We start from the raw sequence: 20,977 nt of genomic DNA, 5'->3' as shown, positions 1-20,977 counted from the left end.
GGCTTTGACAATTTGGGGCCGGGCGCGGTGGCTCACGGCTGTAATCTCAGCACTTTGGGAAGCCAAGGTGGGAGGATCACTTGAGGTCAGGTGTTAGAGACCAGCCTGGCCAACATGGTGAAACCCCATCTCTACTAAAAATACAAAAAATTAGCTGGGTGTGGTGGCATGCACCTGCAACCCCAGCTACTCGGGAGGCTGAGGCAGGAGAATCACTTGAACCTGGGAGGCAGAGGTTTCAGTGAGCCAAGATTGCACCACTGCACTCCAGTCTGGGTGACACAGCGAGACTCTGCCTCAAAAAATAATAATAATAATAATAACAATAATAATTTGGATCCCCTACGTAATCTCCTCCCTAGAAGGCTTCATTTTAGAGACACACACAAACTTCATCTTTTCTCCTGATATTTGAACATAGGCTTCCACTGTGCCACAGCTACTTGCCTTGTTAGTACTGTTTTCCCTGCGTTTATATAGCTAGCCATTAACTAACTACTATGCGTCACACACTGGAGATGCAAAGATAAAGAACATGTGTTGTCTGCCATCAAGAAGCTTAGAGGTCTGGTGGGAAAACAATCAAGCCAACAAAGAGTTAAAGCACAGTACATCCTAACTGTACTCAAATCCTGGCTCTACTCACTTAGCAACTGTGTGACCTTGGGCAACTTACTTAACCTCTCCATGCCTTCGTTTCCACAACTGTAAAATGGGGATAATAGTAGTACTACGGGGTTGTGGTGAGAGAAAATGCTTTAACATGTGTAAACTGGAAGGACAGTGCTTGGGATATAGTCAACACCTAGTAAATATTGGCCATGTTATTACAATGTTGGTTTGCCAAGGAGGTTAGAGGAGCATGGAGAAAGAACATCCAGTGAGAGAGGGAGTGGGATGGGAAGGGAAGATGTTTCAGGGGAAGTGATGCTTTGGCTGACCTTTTGAAGGATAAGCAGGGTTATCAGATAAAGAAGGGAGAGATACTCCAGGTAGAGGTGGCAGCATTCAGCAAGGCATGAAGATGTGCATCAGCATGCGTCAGAAGACCACTGCAAATGTCTTCAGTGATGCTGCAGCCAACAGTGCCTTAGCTGTAGCCCAGGAAATGTTCTGGGGCCTCTCTAGAAGACCTTTTGACTTCCTCCAAGGGCCTCTTACCTCCTCCATAATCTGATCCATTCAGGCTCTGTGGTCTGAGGCGGAAACTGCCCCCAAAAAAGAAGAAAAGGACAGCAAAAAATGAGTTTCAAACACGGAAAGGAACATCCCAAATGTTTATTGTATCCATTCTTTCTCCTAGATGAAAATGTCCCTGAACCTGTTTTTCTCTGTCAACTTAGTCAAACCTAATTAGGCCACTGGGTGTGCCGTGTGTGGTTGCACAGGCTGTGCGATGCACTATTCCAGAGGACAGCATCACAGAGGCTATGACATGAATGCAGCTTCCGCCCCTGGGAGTAGGAAACTGGGTGGCCCTACCTTCACAGCACCTTTATCTAGAAAACTTCTTTCTTTTCTGATATAAGTCTTATGAGAAGGCAAGGCTTAGAAGCTGGTATTGCTTCTGCCCATCTATATCAATAATGCAGAAGGCATGGGCCAGTACCCTGATACCTGGACATATAATTCTAAAACCACACAGTGGGAGATAGGACATGGGCATCAATGCCAGGGTCCAGACCTTCAGTTGAGGAAGCGGGATTAACCAAACCTTGGATTCAGCAGGCATCAATAATTCTAGCCCCAGACTTCTAACACAGTGTTCAACATAGGTGGAACAGATCATGACCACCAAGACTGCACTGTTGACCAAGATCAACATAGGATACCATAAGAATAAGAATACTGGAAACGTACTCTTCTATTTCTTCAGAAGCCTTCCTCCTAAACCTGAAAAAAAAAAAGAAAAGACAAGGTTTTTGAGAGCCCACTAGTCTCATGCACCAGGTAGTATCTTGAGGAAGGTTTCAAAAGTGGAGGCAAATTAGTATATCTCAAGTGCTTTATTTGTCTGCAGTCCTCTTTAGAGACAAGCCCCACAACCAGCATGAGAGAACTGAAGATGCTGTAGTGCCTTCTTACAGCTTTATGTCAGCCTCACTCCAAATTGGATTGTTGAGAGTGTAAGTGCAGGTTGAGCGAGTGGCTTAAAATTCAAATAGATACAGATGATTCAGTGCCCTCTTTTCTTTCAGCAATTAACTGACTGATTTATAGAGTGCTTTCTTAGGACTGAGACCCTGGGTCTTATTTGGTGTTGTTAGCTGTCAGCACTTGCGACTTGCAACGAGCAAAAAGGGATGTCCTCGCCTCGCAGTTCAGGCTTCAGACTTTGGAACTGCTTTTCTGTGCCCTTCACACGAAGGACGAGAGGACCTTCTGAGTGATGGTGGGTGAGGAGTGACAGGGCCTGGCTGATACACGCGTATCTATGGTAGTGGTTCTCACACGTCAGGGTGCATAAGAACCATCCGCGGGGCCTGTTAGATACACAGATTGGTGGGCCTGGCAGGGAGATTTCTGAATCAGCTGGTCTGGGTGGGTGGGGGCAGCCCAGGAATATGCATTTTTAAATTCTAATCTAAGTGGGTCACTACTCACACTCTGAGAAACACTGATGTGAAGTTTTCTAATAAGACTGGCGAAATGTTGATGATTATTAAAGTTGAATATTGGGTACATGGAGATTACATTTTTGTATGTCTGAAAACTTCCACTATTCTGTCATCATAGGGTTTTTTGTTTGTTTGTTTTAAATGAGTTATTTGAAGTCAGAAATCTAGCACCATGATGAGCAAGAGCAAAGGATGGGGGCAAAGGGCGGCAAATGGCCTGGAGGCAGGATGTAGACCTTGACAGGGTAGGCCACCAGCCTTGCCAGTAAGAATTGGTTTCGAGGAGCCAACCAGCAATTCTTGCAAAACGCAAATAACTCCCCCTGCCAAAAGTAGAATTCTACATTCATTTTTTTTTTTTTTGTCAATTAAAAAATAAAAATTTCAGCCAGGCACAGTGGCTCACGCCTGTAATTCTAATACTTTGGGAGGCCAAGGCAGGTGGATCATTTGAGGTCAGGAGTTTGAGACCAGCCCGTCCAACATGGTGAAACCCCATCTCTACTAAACATACAAAAATTAGCCAGGTATGGTGGTGGGCACCTGTAATCCCAGCTACTCAGAGGCTGAGACAGGAGAATCGCTTGAACACGGAAGGTGGAGGTTGCGGTGAGCCAAGATCACGCCATTTCACTCCAGCCTAGCAACAGAGTGAGACTCCGTCTCAAAAAAAATAATAATATAAAATAAAATAATTAAAATGATTTTAAAAAGTAAGTCAAAGTTTAAATAGACTGCTTTCCATGGAATTTAGACTCTATCAACTGTACCATTTTTAAAAAGGAAGAATGACGGCTGAAGTGAGGTGGGAGAATGGGTAGGTCAAGCTGGAAGAACAGGGTGTAACAACTCTAAGGGAATCTCCCAGGCTGCAGTTTCTGACCCTTAAAGAGAGATAAAGGAGACTCAGCAATGAAGGTTATGAGGGCAGAAGGAGACAGAATGGGTAGTGGGAGGCACCAAAGAGAAACCACTGCAGGGTGCCCAGGGCATCCCCAGCCTGGTGTTGCTGGATGCTATAGGCTTCCAATGCCTATTCTAAGTAAACGGAATCCTAAAGGAAGAGCACCCAGTAGCCATCAAAGCCACCTTCTGTCTGTGTGGGAGGACAGAAGCTGTCTTCCCAGTTCACGCCGTCCCCAAGGACCAATGCCTCTAATTGTCCTCATGAAGTTAAACTCTATACCCCCATTGTCCGAATGACACAGCTAATGTCACCAAGGGTAGATGTGCTTGGATGAAAACAGGGATAAAAGAAGAATCCCGGGATTAAAGAGGCTAGGAAGGAAGGCTGGCGCCTTCGTTGTGTACATAAGAGACATATTTGTCTCCAATTACCCTCAGGAGTTATGACCGAATCGTTCCTTCCCTACACAATGTGCGGTGGCAAAACCAGTGGCGATTCTGTCTGAAGGAAACAATAATGATAATGCTAATCTTTCGGGGGAGGCTGATTAATTGCCATTTATCCACTCAATATCCAAAAGGGGGATGAGTTTAATATTCAGCTTAATTGCTGCTGAGCCCACATCCTGCTCTCTCACTCTAGGGGGAGCCCAAGGACTCTCCCCTCTCCCTTTTCTCCCAACAGAGGAAGGAAGAAAGATCAAATGGAGTCCTCAAGGACGGGCAGCAGGGATGCCCTCAGGTGGCGTGTTCTCTCTCATTCTCTCTCTCTGCCAGAAATAACGGGTTCTGGGAGCGCACTGAGTGGGATGGTGCGCCCTGCCTCTGATCTGGGTCACAGACCGAACACTGGCCACTTCCCAGCCTTACCTAGCCTGCAGATGAGTTTGGTCTAAACCATACTGCTGTCTATTTTTTGTTTTGTTCTGTTTTAATGTAAATTCATTGCCAAAATGGGGAGATTTTGTATAAAAATCCAAATTTCTGGACTCTTAACTTTTTAGTTTAACTTTTTAGCCTGGCAATACTGGACGTGCAGTGGATGAACCTGAGCTCCCCCGACCCCGCATTGCTCCCAAACACTGGGGGTCCAGAACTAGTCCTGAATTACATGATCTGCACTGCTGGTTTTCCAATAGGAGTGAGGAGGCTGGCAAAGTATGTCTTGCAGCTATCAAATATGAGGAGGCAAAAAGACAAAGTGGGGAGCGTGTTTTAGGAAAACTGGCAGAGTATATTTCTTTATAGAAATGCGAACATGCAAATAATTTGTGTATGTATCTCAAGAATATGATTGAAGGTACCATTCTGAAATAAAACCCCATTTCACAGATTTACTTTATCTGCCTGGTCCTCAAAGGCACCTCAGGCTAGTGCAGTGACAAGGAGCCCAGCAAAAGACACAGAATCTAGCACGATGTTTTTTAAACTTCAGGTCATGACCCACGAGTGAGCCATGAAACCAATTTAGTGGCGCACCACCAGCTTTCCTTTCCTTTTAAAATTTTTCTTTCATCTTTCTTTTTTAATAGCACAGAAAACACCATGTGCTGAAAATAGTAAGAATAGGTATTATGTAAATGTTTTGTTTCCTGTTTTATATATACACATACCCAGTCATGAAGTATATTTTTATTTTTTATTAATTTACTTTTTTTTTTTTTAGAGACAGGGTCTCACTCTGTGGCCCAGAGTGGAGTGCAGTGTTGAGATCATGGTTCACTGCAGCCTCAAACTCCTGAGTTCATGTTATCCTCCCACCTCAGCCTCCTGAGTAGCTGGGACTACAAGTGCGTGCCACCGTGCCTGGCTAATTTTTTTCTATTTTTCGTAGAAACAGGGTCTCACTGTATTGTCCAGGCTGTTCTTAAACTCCTGACCTCAAGCAATTCTCCTGCTTTTGCCTCCCAAAGCACTGGGATTCAGGCATGGGCCACTGTGCTCAGCCCTGACTGTATTTTTAAACTACTGGTGACAGGTTAAAAACAAACAAGCAAGCAAACAAACAAGAACCTAAAACACAGTAGTCTACCACAGTCCACAGGGTAGGGAATTAGAGAAGAATCTGATATGGAAGTTCTGCCTCCCAGACTGTGTGAGGACAGAGGTTGAGGTAAAGAATTATGGGTCCTGGAGCACCTCTTCAGAGACACTTCATTCCCAACTTCTGAGGAAACTGAGGCTGTCGATGAGGCTTGTGTGACCTGGGCCCAGCCCTCTGACAGGCTGTCTGCAGAGCTGAGATCAGTATAGCCTTGGGCTGCCGGTTTATTTCTGTACTCAGGGCCCCTGTGCCTTTTTCCCCAAAAGTGGCTATTAGAAGTTTGGGGAACCTGGCAAATCATAATTCCAGCGAGATCACCTCACACAGAGCACTTTTCAATACTCTTCAAAGATATTCACATCTACAAACACTACCTCGGCTGAGTTCTGGAGAAGAGGAAAAGCAGGTTTCAGCAGCACAATTTTATACACAGAGAGGGACGCTGGGCACTGCAGCTGTGGGCTTCACCCAAATCACAGAGCTAGTTAGTGATGAGGCTGAAACTAGAATCCATGTCTCCCAACTTTCACCCTAGATTCCAAACACTTTGCCTCAAGCCTTTTCAAAGGAAGATACCAGTTGATTATCTAATATCCCTAAGGCACCCAGACATCTGCTTGGATTTACTGTGTAGACGGTCCCTTCTTGACTTCCTCTCCTTATGGAAGGCACGATATGGTATAGACAGCAAATTGGAAGCTGGAGAGAATCTTTTAAATTAGTCATTCTTCAACAGTGGTGCACCAGACTCATTCCCGGAAGCTTTTTCAATGTACATGGGCTGGGCTTACTCCTAATCTCCCTGAGGTAGTAACTTCCAGAAATGGGACCTAGTCACGTAGACAAGACTCCCTGCCCTAAGCCTTGAGACATTCAGCTGAATACTCCAGTTGCTAAGCAGCAAAACTGAAACTTATTTGCCTTCTCCTCCTGAGTTGCCGACTTTCTTCTAACGGAAGCATTAATGAACATGGACTTGACCTAAAGGATGAGAGGAGGAAGAAATAGCAAGGGGCCTGAATGGTCCACTAGGTGAAGTCTCTGTTCCTGAGTGATCCTGAAATTCACGCCCAAGTACGTGGTGTTCATGAAAACTAAGCAGGTGTTCTCCACCACACCAGGCCCAGAGCAATCCAGATCCGATTAGAGATGCTCGTTCAATATTCAAAATGTAAAACACAGAGGTTGCTGAATCAGCACTTTGAAAAGTTAATTAAATGCCAGGTTTCTTTTTAAGAGCTACTCCATCACTCACTGATTGCTTTGGCCATTTTGCAGAATGAAGTTTTAACCTGGGACAGTGACAGTAAACGTTCTCTCTCACCTCCGCCTCGTGGAGCAGGGTGAGGGAGCAAAGACTGGCTTCCCCTCCCCACATCACGGCGGGCTGATGGCCCTTTCCAAATTGCCTACAATGCTCAGCCACGAAGCTGCCAAGGACTCAGAAGCTTGGCTTCTCAGGTAGACGATGTGAAGGTGAAGGCGGTTGTCTTGCTGTCGTGACTTGCATTTAAAGCCCAGTACCTCAGCTCCACACTCACCCAGTCCCGTCCTGGTCTTCATCCCAGCTTCTCTCTGACCTACGCTTAGCCTCTCCTGCCTGGCTCAGCGCACCCACTCTCAACTCTCAGGGGAAAGAAAGCCCAGTCCCAGGTCTCAGCCCACCCTTCCTTTGTGCTGTCCCTTCCCCCACAAACCTGCCCTAAGAAGGATGACGACTGATGACAACAGTCAACATTTACTGAGTTTGTTAGGCACCAGCCACTGTCATTATAGTATTTATAATACTATTATACAATTATATAATCACATATGTCCTATACAGTATACATTATCTTATTTCAGTATTATAGTACCTTATTTTATTCTCTTTGTTTCACAGAGGAGGAGCTCAAGAGAGGTAAGTAACCTGCCTAAGGTTACCTACCTAGAAAGTGGTAGGGCCAGAATGCAAGCAGGGTGTCTGACTCCAAAGCTCAGTTCCCAACCCTTACACCATGGAGACATGCGGGCATTTCAACAGCATGGGAAATGCTCCTCTGCTTCAAATCCAACTAATATTTTCAGGACGGGGACAACTTTTCAACTTATAGTAGGGCTGTAGCTTTGTCAGTCCTGATGATCTGGTAGTTAATGTTGGCTTAATTGTTCTGTGATTTATTATATGTTTTATTTACAACGCAACAGTGTGCATCATGGCAAAAAAGAGACCCATCTAGCTAAGTCACCTTTCTCTCCATATTCCTCCCTTTTTGAAATTCTTTTGCTCAAATGTAATCCCTTTCTTTGGCATTTGGAGCCCACACTGACATTTGACGGTGTGATTTGGGCAGCTGAGCACAAGCTGGATCCCAGTGGCACATCTGTGACTTCAGCCACATGGGACCATGGCAGAATCTTGGATCCTCATAGTTTTATTCCTGCCTGCAGGGTCTGTCTCCTCCCTGCTGCATCAGGGGGCCTGATCTGGCCATCATGATCGAGTGGGACTAGCAGGTAGTTATGACCCCCAACTGCAGGGACCCCATGAACTTCTGGGGAAGAGGCCGCAAAACAACCTGGATTCCCTTCACCAGACAGAAGAGGCCTTAACTGCTGCTACATGGGTTATGTGCTGAAGGGTAAAAGGCAGCCCTAATGTAGACATCACCTCAGTTAAAATGTTTCTCTCGAGTTTAATGGAATACTGCAGAGATCTAAATGGAGATAAAGTACCACGGCTCAGAGAACAGCCAGGATGCTATCTTTATGCAGCATGACAATGTTCAGTGGTTAATTAGACACCGTTAACCTATTTTAGCAGGGGACATAACCGAGATAAATGGGGGGAAGCGTCCTTGAAGTCTCTTAATATCCACAGCACATACTGGACCCTAGACCCACCTCCCTGCTGCAAGGCAGAACAGGCTTAAAATAGACGAAAGTGCCAAGCACCTGGAGCCTTGCCTGTGCCCGTGGAAGGCCCTATGCGAGTCCATCCCTCAGGGATCACTCCGACCTGGGGAGGAATGTGAAGGGTTTGGATGAATGGTTCTGACTATAACTTGTTGCAGGTGAAAGAAACGCCAAAGCCATAGGAAGGCACCTGCATGATTCCCATTACAAAAGAGACAAAACTGCAGCCAGGGGCCAAAGGCATGAAGAAAAACTGGCCAGGGGAAGAGCAGGAAAGAGATACCAACTACGTTGATGCCAAAGCTACTTTACATTTTTAAAATGTCAAGTAAAAATTTCTTCCTCTGGAGGAAAAAAAATCAAAATGCCATTTTCTTGCAAGGTTTTCTACCCTCATAATTTTTAAATGTCCAAGAAAAATCTCACAGTTGCCTCCAAACCTCATTGAGGTAAATTTTACCAAGGCATGAGAGAGAGAAGGCAATATTCCCGGATCATCTAATGCCACCAGCAAATCCAGAACCAAGGCTCTACTTTATAAATGTGTGAAGCGCCAAATGAGCCTTTGCAGTGAAAACCCAAATGTGAGGAAAGGAGAAATCTGCCATTGTCATCTTGGCCACACTGCTCATTCAATCCCAGGCGGTACACTGGATAATTGGGGTCCCTCTGCTCTAAGCTGCCCCCACACCTGCAATACTCATTAAAAGCTAGATATTTCTCATGAACTGAAGTTTTCCTTGTCCAACAGATTTCTCCTCATTTAAATCTCCCCTGAAAGCTGCAGTCACCACCCTCTTTCCCCTCAGTTCCTAGTTCTTGCCACTCATGTGTTTAGCATCTAGTATATGCCGCTAGGTACCATATTTTCTTCCTTCTTTTAAAACAGGCAGGTATTCCCTAACACCCAAATTTTGGCACTCTGGGGTTTTAGGTCACGCTAGATCATATTTAGCTCCTGCCAGCACAGTTCATCAGTAAGATGTCTGGTAGACTGATAAAAAACTCATGCCCATGTCCTCTCTTTACACTGCCAAGGCCTAGTGAATCACAAGGCAATTCCTGGGAGAATGTTGCCCCCTGCTGCTCACATTAAAAATGACAGCTTTGTTTTGCTTCAAACTAAATGTGTGAAAAAAGGTTGAAATACACAGAAACGCTTTGAGTAGCTACAGTTATGGGAACATATAAAATGTAATATGCCTGCTATCAAGAAAAGGCAGCAGAGTTTAGAACTCTAGAGGTTTTAGCCCTCTCAAATGAACATTTTTTTATTCAGGAAACCATTACTGGATCACTAATCATCTACTAGGCAGGAGTGAGAGGTGTTGGGAATTGGGGATCTTTTGCTCAAGATTTTACAATCTGGTAGGAGAAAAGAACATTACAGAAATAACACTAACACCTCCATAAACTTACATACTGTAAGGCCAAAAAGACTCTCACCACCAGATGGGTACAGCGGTGTGCACCTGTAATCCCAGATACTCAAGAGACTAAGGTGGGAGAATCACTTCAGCCCACGAGTTTAAGACCAGCCTAAGCAACACAGCGAGACCTCATCTCAAAAACAAACAAACAAAACCCAAGAAAACAAACAAAAGACTCCCACCACATCCAAACACTCCCACCACATCCAAACACTCCCACCACATCCAAACCCTCCCACCACATCCAAATACTCCCACCACATCCAAACTGTCAGCTGCTAGATGAAGAAGTGGAGACCAGGAGTCCTCAAAGAGATCTAATGAAGGCTCCAAAGCCAGTGGACGCAGTGCTGGACCTGGAAACTGAGGTTCACAATCCCTCATTCTACTGAGCCCCAGATTTGACAGGACAAGTGAGGAAGGTGTAAGCAAACTGTCACAGGAGCACTAAAGAGGGAACCAGCCATTCTAGCTGGGGATCTGGGGAGGCTTCATGGAAGCCTTGCCAATGGAGAGATGAGGAGGCTTGCAATGGGCAGAAAAGCTGCAGGAGGGAAACCACTCGAACAGAGGTCAGAGGCATGCAGGGGCTGAGGTGTTCGGAAAACAGAAGGGGACATGGTGTGGCTGAAATAAGGAAAAGGTGGTGGCTGGAGATGAGAATGGCGTCAGGGCTGAGTGGGTAAGCAATAAGACCAAATAAGTTGGTATTACTGGTGTCAACTCTATAAATACATACACTGACATTGATCAGGGATCAGGAGGGATTTGGGGGCTTGAAATTAACCATGGGTTCTTTGCTTTCCCCCTTCAAGTTACTTATGCCCACATATAGAGACCTCAATGATCTAATATTTTGCAACTTACCTTGTATCCTGCAGTACAAAAGCAGCACAGAGCAGTTAAATGGAAGTTCTTATTCTTCCCACTGGGAGAAAGAAGGGGGTTGGGGGTGGGGAGAAGCAGCTAAGAAGAACCGCTGTATGAGTGTTCCCCAAATGTCTGCCATTTCCAAGTGCCACCTTCACCAATTTTGCTATAGCTATGTACTTTCTGCAACCACTTAGCATTTTCTTTAAATTGATTCCTTGGTTTTAATACATTTTTTTTAAAAGAAAACTCTACATCTTCATGGAAAGCTATCATCACCAGCCATAGGGAAATAATTGTAAAAAAAAAAAAAACACACAGCTTTTTAAAAACTACAAACTTTATTAGCTAGACATTGCTGTTTGTCAAAAATCCAAGAGCGTACGGCCTATTTTGTATTAAAAGGGGAGATTAGTAGGGTTAGAGAAGTGTTAAAGAAACACTGGCTGTAAATGGAGACTTTTCCATTGGCATGATCAGAGGATGTGAAAGCTAGTGGAAAAGAATAACTTTGGGACTAGACACGAATCTTGGGAAAATCGAGCTACAAGGATGGAAGATGGAGATAAACGAGACTGGATGTGGTGACTGAGACTAGTAGAAACCATGTGCCACAAGTCAAGGGACAAACTTCTCAGTGCTTCTGGAAACCTTTATTTCAATTCATGTTTAATTGCTGGAGTGGGTCTTTTACTTTTCCTGTACAGAAGTTTCTGCTCTATAATGGGGAAACCTGTAAAGATTTCCTTCTAGTAACTAACCCACCATCTTCTCTGCTTCTGTTCTTTTACATTCTGTGATTTCCCCGAAACCCCATAAATACACTGAGACTCACCCAAGTCATGAGGTACATGAAGAGAAGGTGCCTCAGTTCTGGTTGCTGGCATGCGAGCCACTGGGGGAGCACAGGACCATGTGTGGCAGCCTCCTGGGAGGCTCAGGGCCCACCCTGGTGAATCCCTGGTAAATAAGAACCAAGGGCACCCTGCCACTTCAACACGTGGGCTCTTTTACAATGGGTGCTGTGAAACCTGGAGAAACTGGTGTAGCCATCAGTATTCAGCTCTGGTGGGGGCAGCATGGGTCAAAAGGTAAAATCACTGACCGACCCACTAGACCAGAAAAAACTCGGATGATGTGAGGGGCCTCCATTTCCTATGCATATTTATACCTATGTGTGCCCAACCTGTTTCATCTATATTAAAATTGCTGTTGGGTACTTCTCCATACAGGACTCAAAAGAAAAGGAAAGAAGTAGGTGTGATGTTCACAGATGCATTTTATTTTTGAGAGACCGAATCCATCAAAGGGAGAACAAGGAGATCATTTATGTTCGGAGAATTTTAACCAATGGTTGGCCTCTCTAATCATTCCCTCCTGGCTTTCAGCTGCTCACTCTGCAAAGCAGCAGGTCCCCCTTAGCAGAGACTGGCTGGCTCAGGGGACACAACTTTTTTCCTTGGAAGTTTTTTTGTTCAATAAGATTGCTTCATACGATCAACATCTCAATTCTGTGAGGGTCCCAGAGGGTAGCAGTAAAGACAATTTTATTCTAACAGACTCACTCTTGCACAAATAGTATAGTGCATGGCCTTTTTGTGAACTTGAGATAAATGCGTGCAGCGCTCAAGGTTTGAGAATGGGCACGGCTGCAGAACGAGAGGCACATTCTATTATACTAATTAGCTGTACGACCTTGGGCAGTGGGGCAAGGTGACATTTAAGGGCCTTTCTAACTCTAAGATTCTATAACTCAGTGTCACTTAACCTCCCTAGTTCTCATTTTCTCCATCTCCAAACGGAAGGGGCCAGACTCCATAGCTCCTCAGGTCTCTCCCCAGCTCTGTGAATGATCACCAACCCTGCCTCCCCTTGATTCTGGCCCCCACCCACATCTGTTCCCCATTAATACTGCTCTCCATTCTGACAACCCCCACGCAGTCCCTTCCTTGCAACTGGTTTATCCAGCCCTAAAAATCTCAATCAAGACAGTGTAGTGTGCAGGTTTGGAAACTGCAATGACAAAAAAAAAAAAAAAGGAGGGAGGGAAGGAACAGAGGGAGGAAGGCAGGCGGGCAGGCAGGCAGGCGGGCGGGCAGTCCTGCCTCTTCCCTTTTTCAATTACTTTTAGGCAAAACAAAGTTGACCCAAACTCTCTTCCTACTTAAGAATTTAAGGCATTTTCCTCCTTGTTCTGTTTCTCTTTTTCTTAGCTGTTGTCAGACCTGCTACAACTTTCCACAGAAATGTTACTTCCCCCTTTATACTCCTCTCCTAAACAGTTAACCTGCTCTTAACATTTCCATTTGTTTTCTTCCTGCTTAATATGACTTCTTTATTTCCTTTCTCTCCAAGCAGTTGGAAAGAGGATAGCTACATAGACCTGCTAAACCTTCCAAACAGAGGGAACTCAGAAACCAACCTTCCTATTCCCCACATCAGAGAGGACTCTAAGAACCCCAGGCTCAATCACTCAGAATCAGGCCAGCCAAGGTATACGTGCTGAGCTCTAATCTCAGGCCCCAATTTAAACAACTAGCTTGAAGCCAGTGGTTCTGAGTATGGGCTCCAGATTCAGAGGGTGCTATGGTTTGAATATATGTGGCCCCTCCAAAACTGATGTTGAAACTTAATCCCCAATGCAACAGTATTCAGGAGGTGACAAGGCCATGAGGACTCCACCCTCAGGGATGGGATTAGTCCCTTATCGAAGGGCTGGTGGGTAGCTAGTCCCTGTTGCCCTTCTGCCTTCTGCCATGTGAGTCCATAGCAGCAAGGTGTCTTGGAAGTATAAAGTAGCCCTCACCAGACACTGAATCTGCTAGTGCCTTGATCTCAGACTTCCCAGACTCCAGAACTGTGAGACATACATTTCCATTATTTATAAACTACCCAGACTGTGGTACTTTGTTATAGCAGCAGGAATTGGCTACAGGTTCAGAACAAAGTTTCATAGGTTCTGGCTTCAGAACAAAGTTTCATCATTCATTAGCTGCATGCTCTTGGGCAAGTCACTTTAAACTCTGCCAAGCTGGTGATAATATCAAATTCTACTTCATAAAGTTGTTCTAAGAATCAAGTAAGTTAATTCAGGCAAAGCATTTTGCATAGAACTTGGCACACAGGAAGTGCTCGGTGAACAGTGGCTGTTGCTACCACCATCATTATTGTGGTGATGGTTGTCCTCATCCAGTCTCTTCCCTGTGCTGCTTGTCCTTGCTTGAGGCGTCTTTCTCCTCAATCCTGTAACTGATCCCCACCCTGAGATGGGTGCTGGCTGGGTGTGCCCAGGGGAGTGGCTACATACTTTTTGCTTCTGGGGACCCACCACTTCCCCTGCTTGCACATATTGCTGCCTCCCTTGCTGAACCTATCCAGGCCACCCTCACTGGCAAGTCCAGCAGCCTGCCCTCGCCACCTGACCTGTTGACCTCATCTACAGACCCCCAGCCCCACATGAGAAACATTTTATCCCGCTCACAAAGCCTCCGCACCAGCTGGCCACTGCTTTCCACAACACAATTAATTTACCGCTCAATTTCTCAGCAGGTAGCCCTCTCATTTTTTTCCATCTTCTGCTTTACTTTTTCTGCCTCTTGGTTCCCTTTCTTCATTTCAGTCACTTCTGTTTATTCCTGTCTAAAAAGCAACTTTTTCTGGCTTTCACATCTTTCTAAAGGATTCTCCACCTCTGGGAAGCTTCTAGAATTAGGTGAAATGGTTTCTGCACTACCTACACACCCAACCCTCCACATCACATGACACGGTCTTTATAGTAGGGCAGTCTCATCCAGTGACTTCTGAAACTCAGCTCAACAGGGTCAGACCACAGAAAATAGCTTGGCATCCACCCAAAGTCGTCTCTCCCATCTTGATTCAAATACCAGTTTTGTTTGGGGTGACAATGAGCCCAACTAAAAATCTGTTTCCTAGCCTCTCTGGGGCTGAGGGGTAGACCCGTGAGAAAGATGCAGCACATTCTTCTCCCTCACCTCCAAAAAACAAATTCTTGCTAAGAAAGAGCCCTTCACCGTCACTTTCACATCACTCTTTCTTCTGCCTGGAAAACAGAGGTGAGGCTTGGCAGTATAGCAGCCATCCCACAACCAGGAGGCACGAGCATGGTGACAAAGGCCCACACGCTAAGGATGGTGGGGCAGAAAGGGAAAGAGCTCCATCCCTCCTGGCTCTGGGGGTGCCTACAGCCCCGGGCTGCTAAGCCCTGGACCTCTCCTTTTGTGAGACAAACTCCTTTCTGTTTAAGCTTCTGTTAATGGGATTTTCTGTTGACTGCAGATTTTTAACTCCAATTACTATAGCACATCTCAAATGAGAACTCATTCTAGTCAGGAAGGAATACAAATCCTATGGAAAAAGCAACCTCACATAATTATAATTAGTTAACCTTCATATATGGTTTCAGAAGAGAAAGCAATGATTTGAAATGGATGCAGGAGGAGAAGAATTCTAAGGATGCGAATGAGACACATTGCCAGTATCTGCTAGAGAAAAAGGTGGCAAACCCAGGGGAAAAAGATGAGCAGACCCTCTCCACAACTTTGTCTAGCCTGAAAAGAGAATTCTTGCTATAAAGAAGGAGGATGAGTGAGCCCTTAAGAAGAGTGTGTTATTGTGATTTATAATAAGAAATACATATTTAGTCTTCATCTAAATACAGATGACCCTTGAACAATGTGGGTGTTGGGGCACAGACCCCCCATACAGTTGAAGTTTAACTTAACCACATACAGCCTACCGTTGACTGGAAACCTCACTAGTAACATAGTCAATTAATACATATTTTGTACGTTATATGTGCTATATACTGTATTACAATAAAGTAAGCTAGAGGAAAAGCAGAAAGAAGAAAAATGTATTTACTACTCATTAAGTGGAAATGGATCAGGAGGAGGAGGAAGAGGAGCGGTTGGCCTTGCTGTCTCAGGGGTGGTGGAGGCAGAAGAAAATCCTCCTATAAGTGGACTTTCTCAGTTCTAAAGGCCAACTGTAAATATTTGGTTTCCTGGCACATAGCTCCTAAAACCCTTGGAATCTCCAATGTGTTATGTCTTTTTGTATGCTAATGAATGACTGATGGGAGATAGATGAATGGGGGGACTCCTGGATGGTCTCAGGATGGAGGCTGGTACCAGGGGAACCTACTCCCTGACCTCAGGAGAGGAGATGGGCTGAAGGTTGATCTGATCACCAATGACCAATGATTTAATCAATTGTGCATACATAATGATGCTTCCATAAACACCCAAAACGACTAGGTTCTGAGAGTTTCTGGGCTGGAGAGCAAGAATGTATTCAGGTGATGGGAGGGTGGCACACTTCAACTCCATGGGAACAGAAGCTCCTACAATTGGGTCTCTTCCAAACCTTGCCCTATATAGCTCTTCATTTGCATCCTTTAAAATATGCTTTGTGGCCTGGCATGGTGGCTCACGCCTGTAATCCCGACACTTTGGGAGGCTGAGGCAGGCGGATCACTTGAGGCCAGGAGTTCGAGACCAGCCTGGTCAACATAGTGAAACTGGGTCTTTATTAAAAATACAACAATTAGCTGGGCGTGGTGGTACATGCCTGTAATCCCAGCTACTCAAGAGGCTGAGGCACATAGGGCGGAAGGTGGAGGTTACAGTGAGCCGAGATAGCACCACTGCATTCCAGCCTGGGCGACTGAGTAAGACTCTGTTTCAAAAAAAAAAAACCAAAAAAAAAAGAGAAATAACATATGCTTTGTAATAAATTGGTGATAGTAAGTAAAGTGTTTGTTTCCCTGAGTTGTGAGCTACTCTAGCAAATTAATCAAGCTGGAAAGGGGGTCATAGGAACACTAGATTTACAGCCAGTGGTTCAGAAGCACAGGTAAAACAACCCAGGGCTTGCAACTGGCACTGGAAATGTGGGACAGTCTTGTGGGACTCAGCTCTGAACCTGTGAGATCTGATGTTAACTCCAGGCAGATAGCGTCAGAATTGAGTAAAACTGTAGAACAGCCAGCTAGTGTCCACTGCAGAACTGGCTATAGTGTATGGAGAAAAACTTCTATACATCTGGTGTCAGAGGTGGAGCACTGAGGGTATAGTAGGAGAAAACAGTTTCCACATTGTGCCAAGAGGACTCTACATTGGGAGAAACAGATTTCTTTTTACATCTGCAAGTACCCCAAGGTTGTCCCATGTCAAAAAGGCATTCAGAAGTGCGGGAGGCAGTGGCTGCAGTGAGCCAAGATCGCACCACTGCACTCCAGCCTGGGCGACAGAGCGAGACTCCGTCTCAAAAAAAAAAAAATCGTGATACCTTGCACCACCAGTCATGCACCTGTCAACACTGCAGTGGCTCCTATTTCCTAAAAAAGGAGGGCCTGCCTGGAGTTCCAGGCCCTGCACACGAGCTCTTCTCTACCTTGCCCACCTACCCTTCTACTCCCCTCTGCAAAGCCTGGTGTGCTCATCCTAAACCCTGTGGTGGTTCATTCATGCCTCTACTCACCTGGCCCCGGCCCTTCCTCAATGCTTGTCAACTGTTTTGCTTCAAGGTAATATAATAACTCAGAAACTAAAAGGACTCGTTTCAAGCAAGCCATCTAGAAAGTATGTTTCAGATGTTCACACATCCTTTTGGAGTTGGAGAGGGCCTTTGAGACCCCTTGTGTGTAAGGCTGAAGAGACAGAGGCCAAGGGCACTGAGCTGGCTGCATGGGGCTGCTACACTACACCTCTCTTCCTCTCATCCCAGCCCAGGGCTCTGCTCTGTGCCCACTGCACAGGCAGATGTCCTGACTCCTAATGACACTTGGGGAAAAGGTGGCCCAATAAGAGAAGGTGGCACTTAGGAAATGGCCTCAAAGGCAGAAACCTAACCCGATTTAACATGTACTTGGAGTGCCTCGCTCTGGGCTACTCTGCCCTAGTCTGCCATGGCATCACAGGCCCCGAAACCAGAAGCAGTTTTACAGGTGCACCTGTAACTAGAACCTGGCTCCTGAGCGGGCTGCCTGGGAATGGATCCAGTTCTTGGAGGGCACTGCAGGGTTAGAAGGGACAATCATTTCCAATGCGTAATTGAACTTAATGACTAGCCTAATTAAGCCTTTTAATGGCAGGGCTGGCAGGGCCTTGGCCAGTACCCCTAAGCACAGGCTGCATCCTCTGCACTCACCTTCTTCTGGTGGGTCAGGCAGCTGGCTGGAGCACAACTCTGCAGAGAGCGAGGCCAAAGGATGCTAGGAAGGGCTTAGGTCATGCATGCACTCCTTGCTATTATTCTCACAAGCTGAACATGTTGGTTTCTTGTCAAAAGAGCCCTCAGGGAATATCTGCTGAGGTTCTACCACGGGCAAAGATGCTGTATCAGGTGTCAAGGGGCATAAAAACAGAAGGCAGCAAAGCACTGAGAATAAGACCATGATCCCTAGGATCAGACTTACGTGGGTCCAAATTCTGGCTGGCTACTCACTAGCTGTATGACTCTGAGCAAGTTACTTAACTTTTTTTTTTTTTTTTACTCTTCAGTTTCCTCATCTGCAAGCAGGGATAATAACAGCACCTACTTCATAGGGTTGTTTTGAGGAAAAAGATAACTGTGTTTAGCACAGTGGCCAGCAAAAGAAGTCACAATAAATAATGTGTGTACGTGTGTGTGTGTGTGTGTGTCCTCGTCCATACAACACAAGGACTGGACAAGACACGTGGGCTCTCCACAAATGGGTTCTGCAGCACTTTCGTGGAAGCCAGAATCTGTTTCTGAGGATGAAGGTGCAAATTTCCTAAAGTCTAGAGCTGTCTAAAAAAACTCAGGGGACAGATAATGGCAAAAATAGAAAGAAAGAACCTAAATGTCCACCAACAGGGGAATAGTGCATCTGTACCACGGGATTATCATGGAGCAGTAAGAAAACTGCAGTAAATCTACGTGTACTAAAACATCTCTAGGATGTACTTACTGCAAAGATAAAAAAGAATGTAAGATGCAGAAGGCACTTAATGTGATCTGTTTACATAAAAAAAAAACACAGACTTTTGTACATACACGTATTGAAGTGGGTAAAAGATACCAACAAACTATTCCAGTAATTACTTCTAGAGAGATGGCTAGGATCAGAGTAAATAGTAGTTTTAGGCATATTTAGCTTTATCTGTCTTGTTTGAATTTTTACGTCATTAAAGAGCTACCAGTTTGCTTGTACAACTAAAAAGGACTTTATTAAAAAACAGAATCAGTGGGGCTGTTTCTACCAAGTTCCCCAGCTGGAGGGGTTCAAGAAGACCCTGGCAAGCACTTAACAGAAACACTAGAATTTCACAGGACATTGGATGAGACTGGCTCTAACTTTCTACTCTTGCAAGCCCTGCACTTTCTACCAGTCCAGAAAAACAAAGGAATATTCCATAGGTGGCTGTGCTTTTGGCTGTTATCATTTAAGGGACACTTCCATGGGCCACTCATTTCTTTCCTGACCTTCTAAGACCCTCCAACTTTACAATACTACTCTTGGCTCCAATAATTGACCTGCTGTAGTCACCAGAGCATTTTCATTTCTGCAAAACTAGAACTGTAAAGGGCCAAAAGTCAAAGCCTTCACAGGACATCCTGAGAACCCATTCTAGAACCACTCTTGGTTTTAATTACAACAAAGGTCAAGGGTAGCTTCACTTAAGAAAAGCTGAAGGCCAGAGAGGAAGGTGGGAGCAGGCTCTCAGGGAGGTAAGGCTTGTGCCTGCACTTGGCCATCTTTTGACAGCCTTCCCTGCAAGGCCAGCCCACAGGCAGTTGGGAAACAGTTCTGCTGACTTGGGCCCTTAGAGGTACAGCAATTGGACAATGTGTGGCCTCAGGGTCTCAGCTGTCCTTTCCCTGGCACACATGCACAGGCAGCAAGTTCATCTCGAGTCCCCACCTGTTCTCCAGCCACCTCCCTAGGGGATCGGGTGCTCCCCTCTGCTCCAGGGAGAGAACTGACTGGGGTCACTTGTCAGGAGGACTGCTCCGCTTTTCAGAGTGGGAAGCAAAGTATCCAAATGCTGCTGCAGCAGGGCTTGTGGGGACACACTGCTGTCCCCTTTGAATGGGAAGCACTCAACAGAAGTGCAAGAGTCCAGAGATTTCATGCTTAGTCATTTGCCTAAGTAAATGGGCTGTGTGACACTGGTCACTAGCCATCCGAGGCCTTAAACTGCAATGAACATAACCTAGAACATCTCTGCTTGCTCTGCACCAAATGTCACTATATCAACCCAAGTAGAAGTGCATGAAAGTGCTCACCCAAATCCTCAATGAGAAAAAGGCTGATGCACCTTCATACCTCTTCCCTAGCCTATGGGATCTATGTGTACCATATCTAAAGCCTTCACAATACTTTCCAAGGGTGATGTTATACTATCACATGAATACACAATAGAAGTCTGGTTTTTTCAGTCTGGGAAAATATCACATGTATTGCCTGCCTATCATTACTTTTACTGAGACAGGAAATTTTGGAGTACTCTGTAGCCCTTAAAAATAAGGCTGTTCAGCCAGGCACAGTGACTCACACCTGTAATCCCAGTACTTTGAGAGGCCAAAGTACTGGCTTGAGCCCAGGAGTTCAAAACCAGCCTGGGCAACATAGTGAGACCCTGTCTCCACAAAAAAAAATAAAAAATTAGCTGGGTGTGGTGACACACACCTGCAGTCCCAGCTACTCAAGAGGCTGAGATGGGAGGATTGCTTGAGGCTGGGAGGTCAAGGCTGCAGTGACCCATGATCACGCCACCTCACTCCAGCCTGGGTGACAGAGTGAGACCCTTTTGTAAAAAAGAAAAGAAGCTCTTCTACTCTGTACTGAGATTCAGAAAGATCAGCAAGAAATATTGTTAGAGATTTTTTTAAAAGTGCAGAATGCATATGTTCCCATTTGTGTCTGTAGGTGGGTGAGGAGAATATATTAACCTGCATAGAGTACCTTTGGAGAGAAACACGAAAAAAACTGGTTAAAAGTGGTTGCCTCCAGGAGAGGAAACTGGGTGCCTGAGAAAGTCAGGAAGGGAGAGAGAGACTCAGGTTTCATATCCCACTCTTTCATATCTTTTGAATTCTATACTATGTTTCTTTTTTATTTAAAAATAAATAAATAAAATTCACCAGTAGTTCTAATGTCTCAAAAGAAGACACGATGTTATACAAAGACTAAAATCTAAAAATGTATACTGTCTCCACATCCCACT

General features: G+C 45.2%; 1 protein-coding gene across 5 annotated transcripts in view; it reads right to left on the bottom strand.

The window, feature by feature from the left end:
- The window catches only part of IFT43 (intraflagellar transport 43), a 98,311-nt gene that overhangs the window by 23,539 nt on the left and 53,795 nt on the right, over positions 1 to 20,977 (bottom strand). For 2 of the 5 annotated variants that reach the window (NR_045665.2, NM_001102564.3), the window contains exons 4-5: positions 1,861 to 1,893; positions 1,162 to 1,208 (exon numbers count right to left, since the gene is read on the bottom strand). The exons of 2 other annotated variants lie outside the window; for them this stretch is intronic. Coding sequence is in view for 2 of the 3 variants with exons in the window: in NM_001102564.3 (NP_001096034.1) it covers positions 1,162 to 1,208; positions 1,861 to 1,893 (80 nt within the window). In the remaining variant the exon portion in view is untranslated. Of the gene's footprint in view, positions 1 to 1,161; positions 1,209 to 1,263; positions 1,894 to 20,977 lie in introns of those variants that run through there. One more of the 5 variants, NM_001255995.3, reaches the window with a different exon arrangement.

This window comes from Homo sapiens, chromosome 14, assembly GCF_000001405.40.
Source record: "Homo sapiens chromosome 14, GRCh38.p14 Primary Assembly".
NCBI classification, from domain to species: Eukaryota; Metazoa; Chordata; class Mammalia; order Primates; family Hominidae; genus Homo; species Homo sapiens.
The sequence above is the reverse complement of the archived record's forward strand: the minus strand, read 5'-3'. Positions and strand labels throughout refer to the sequence as shown.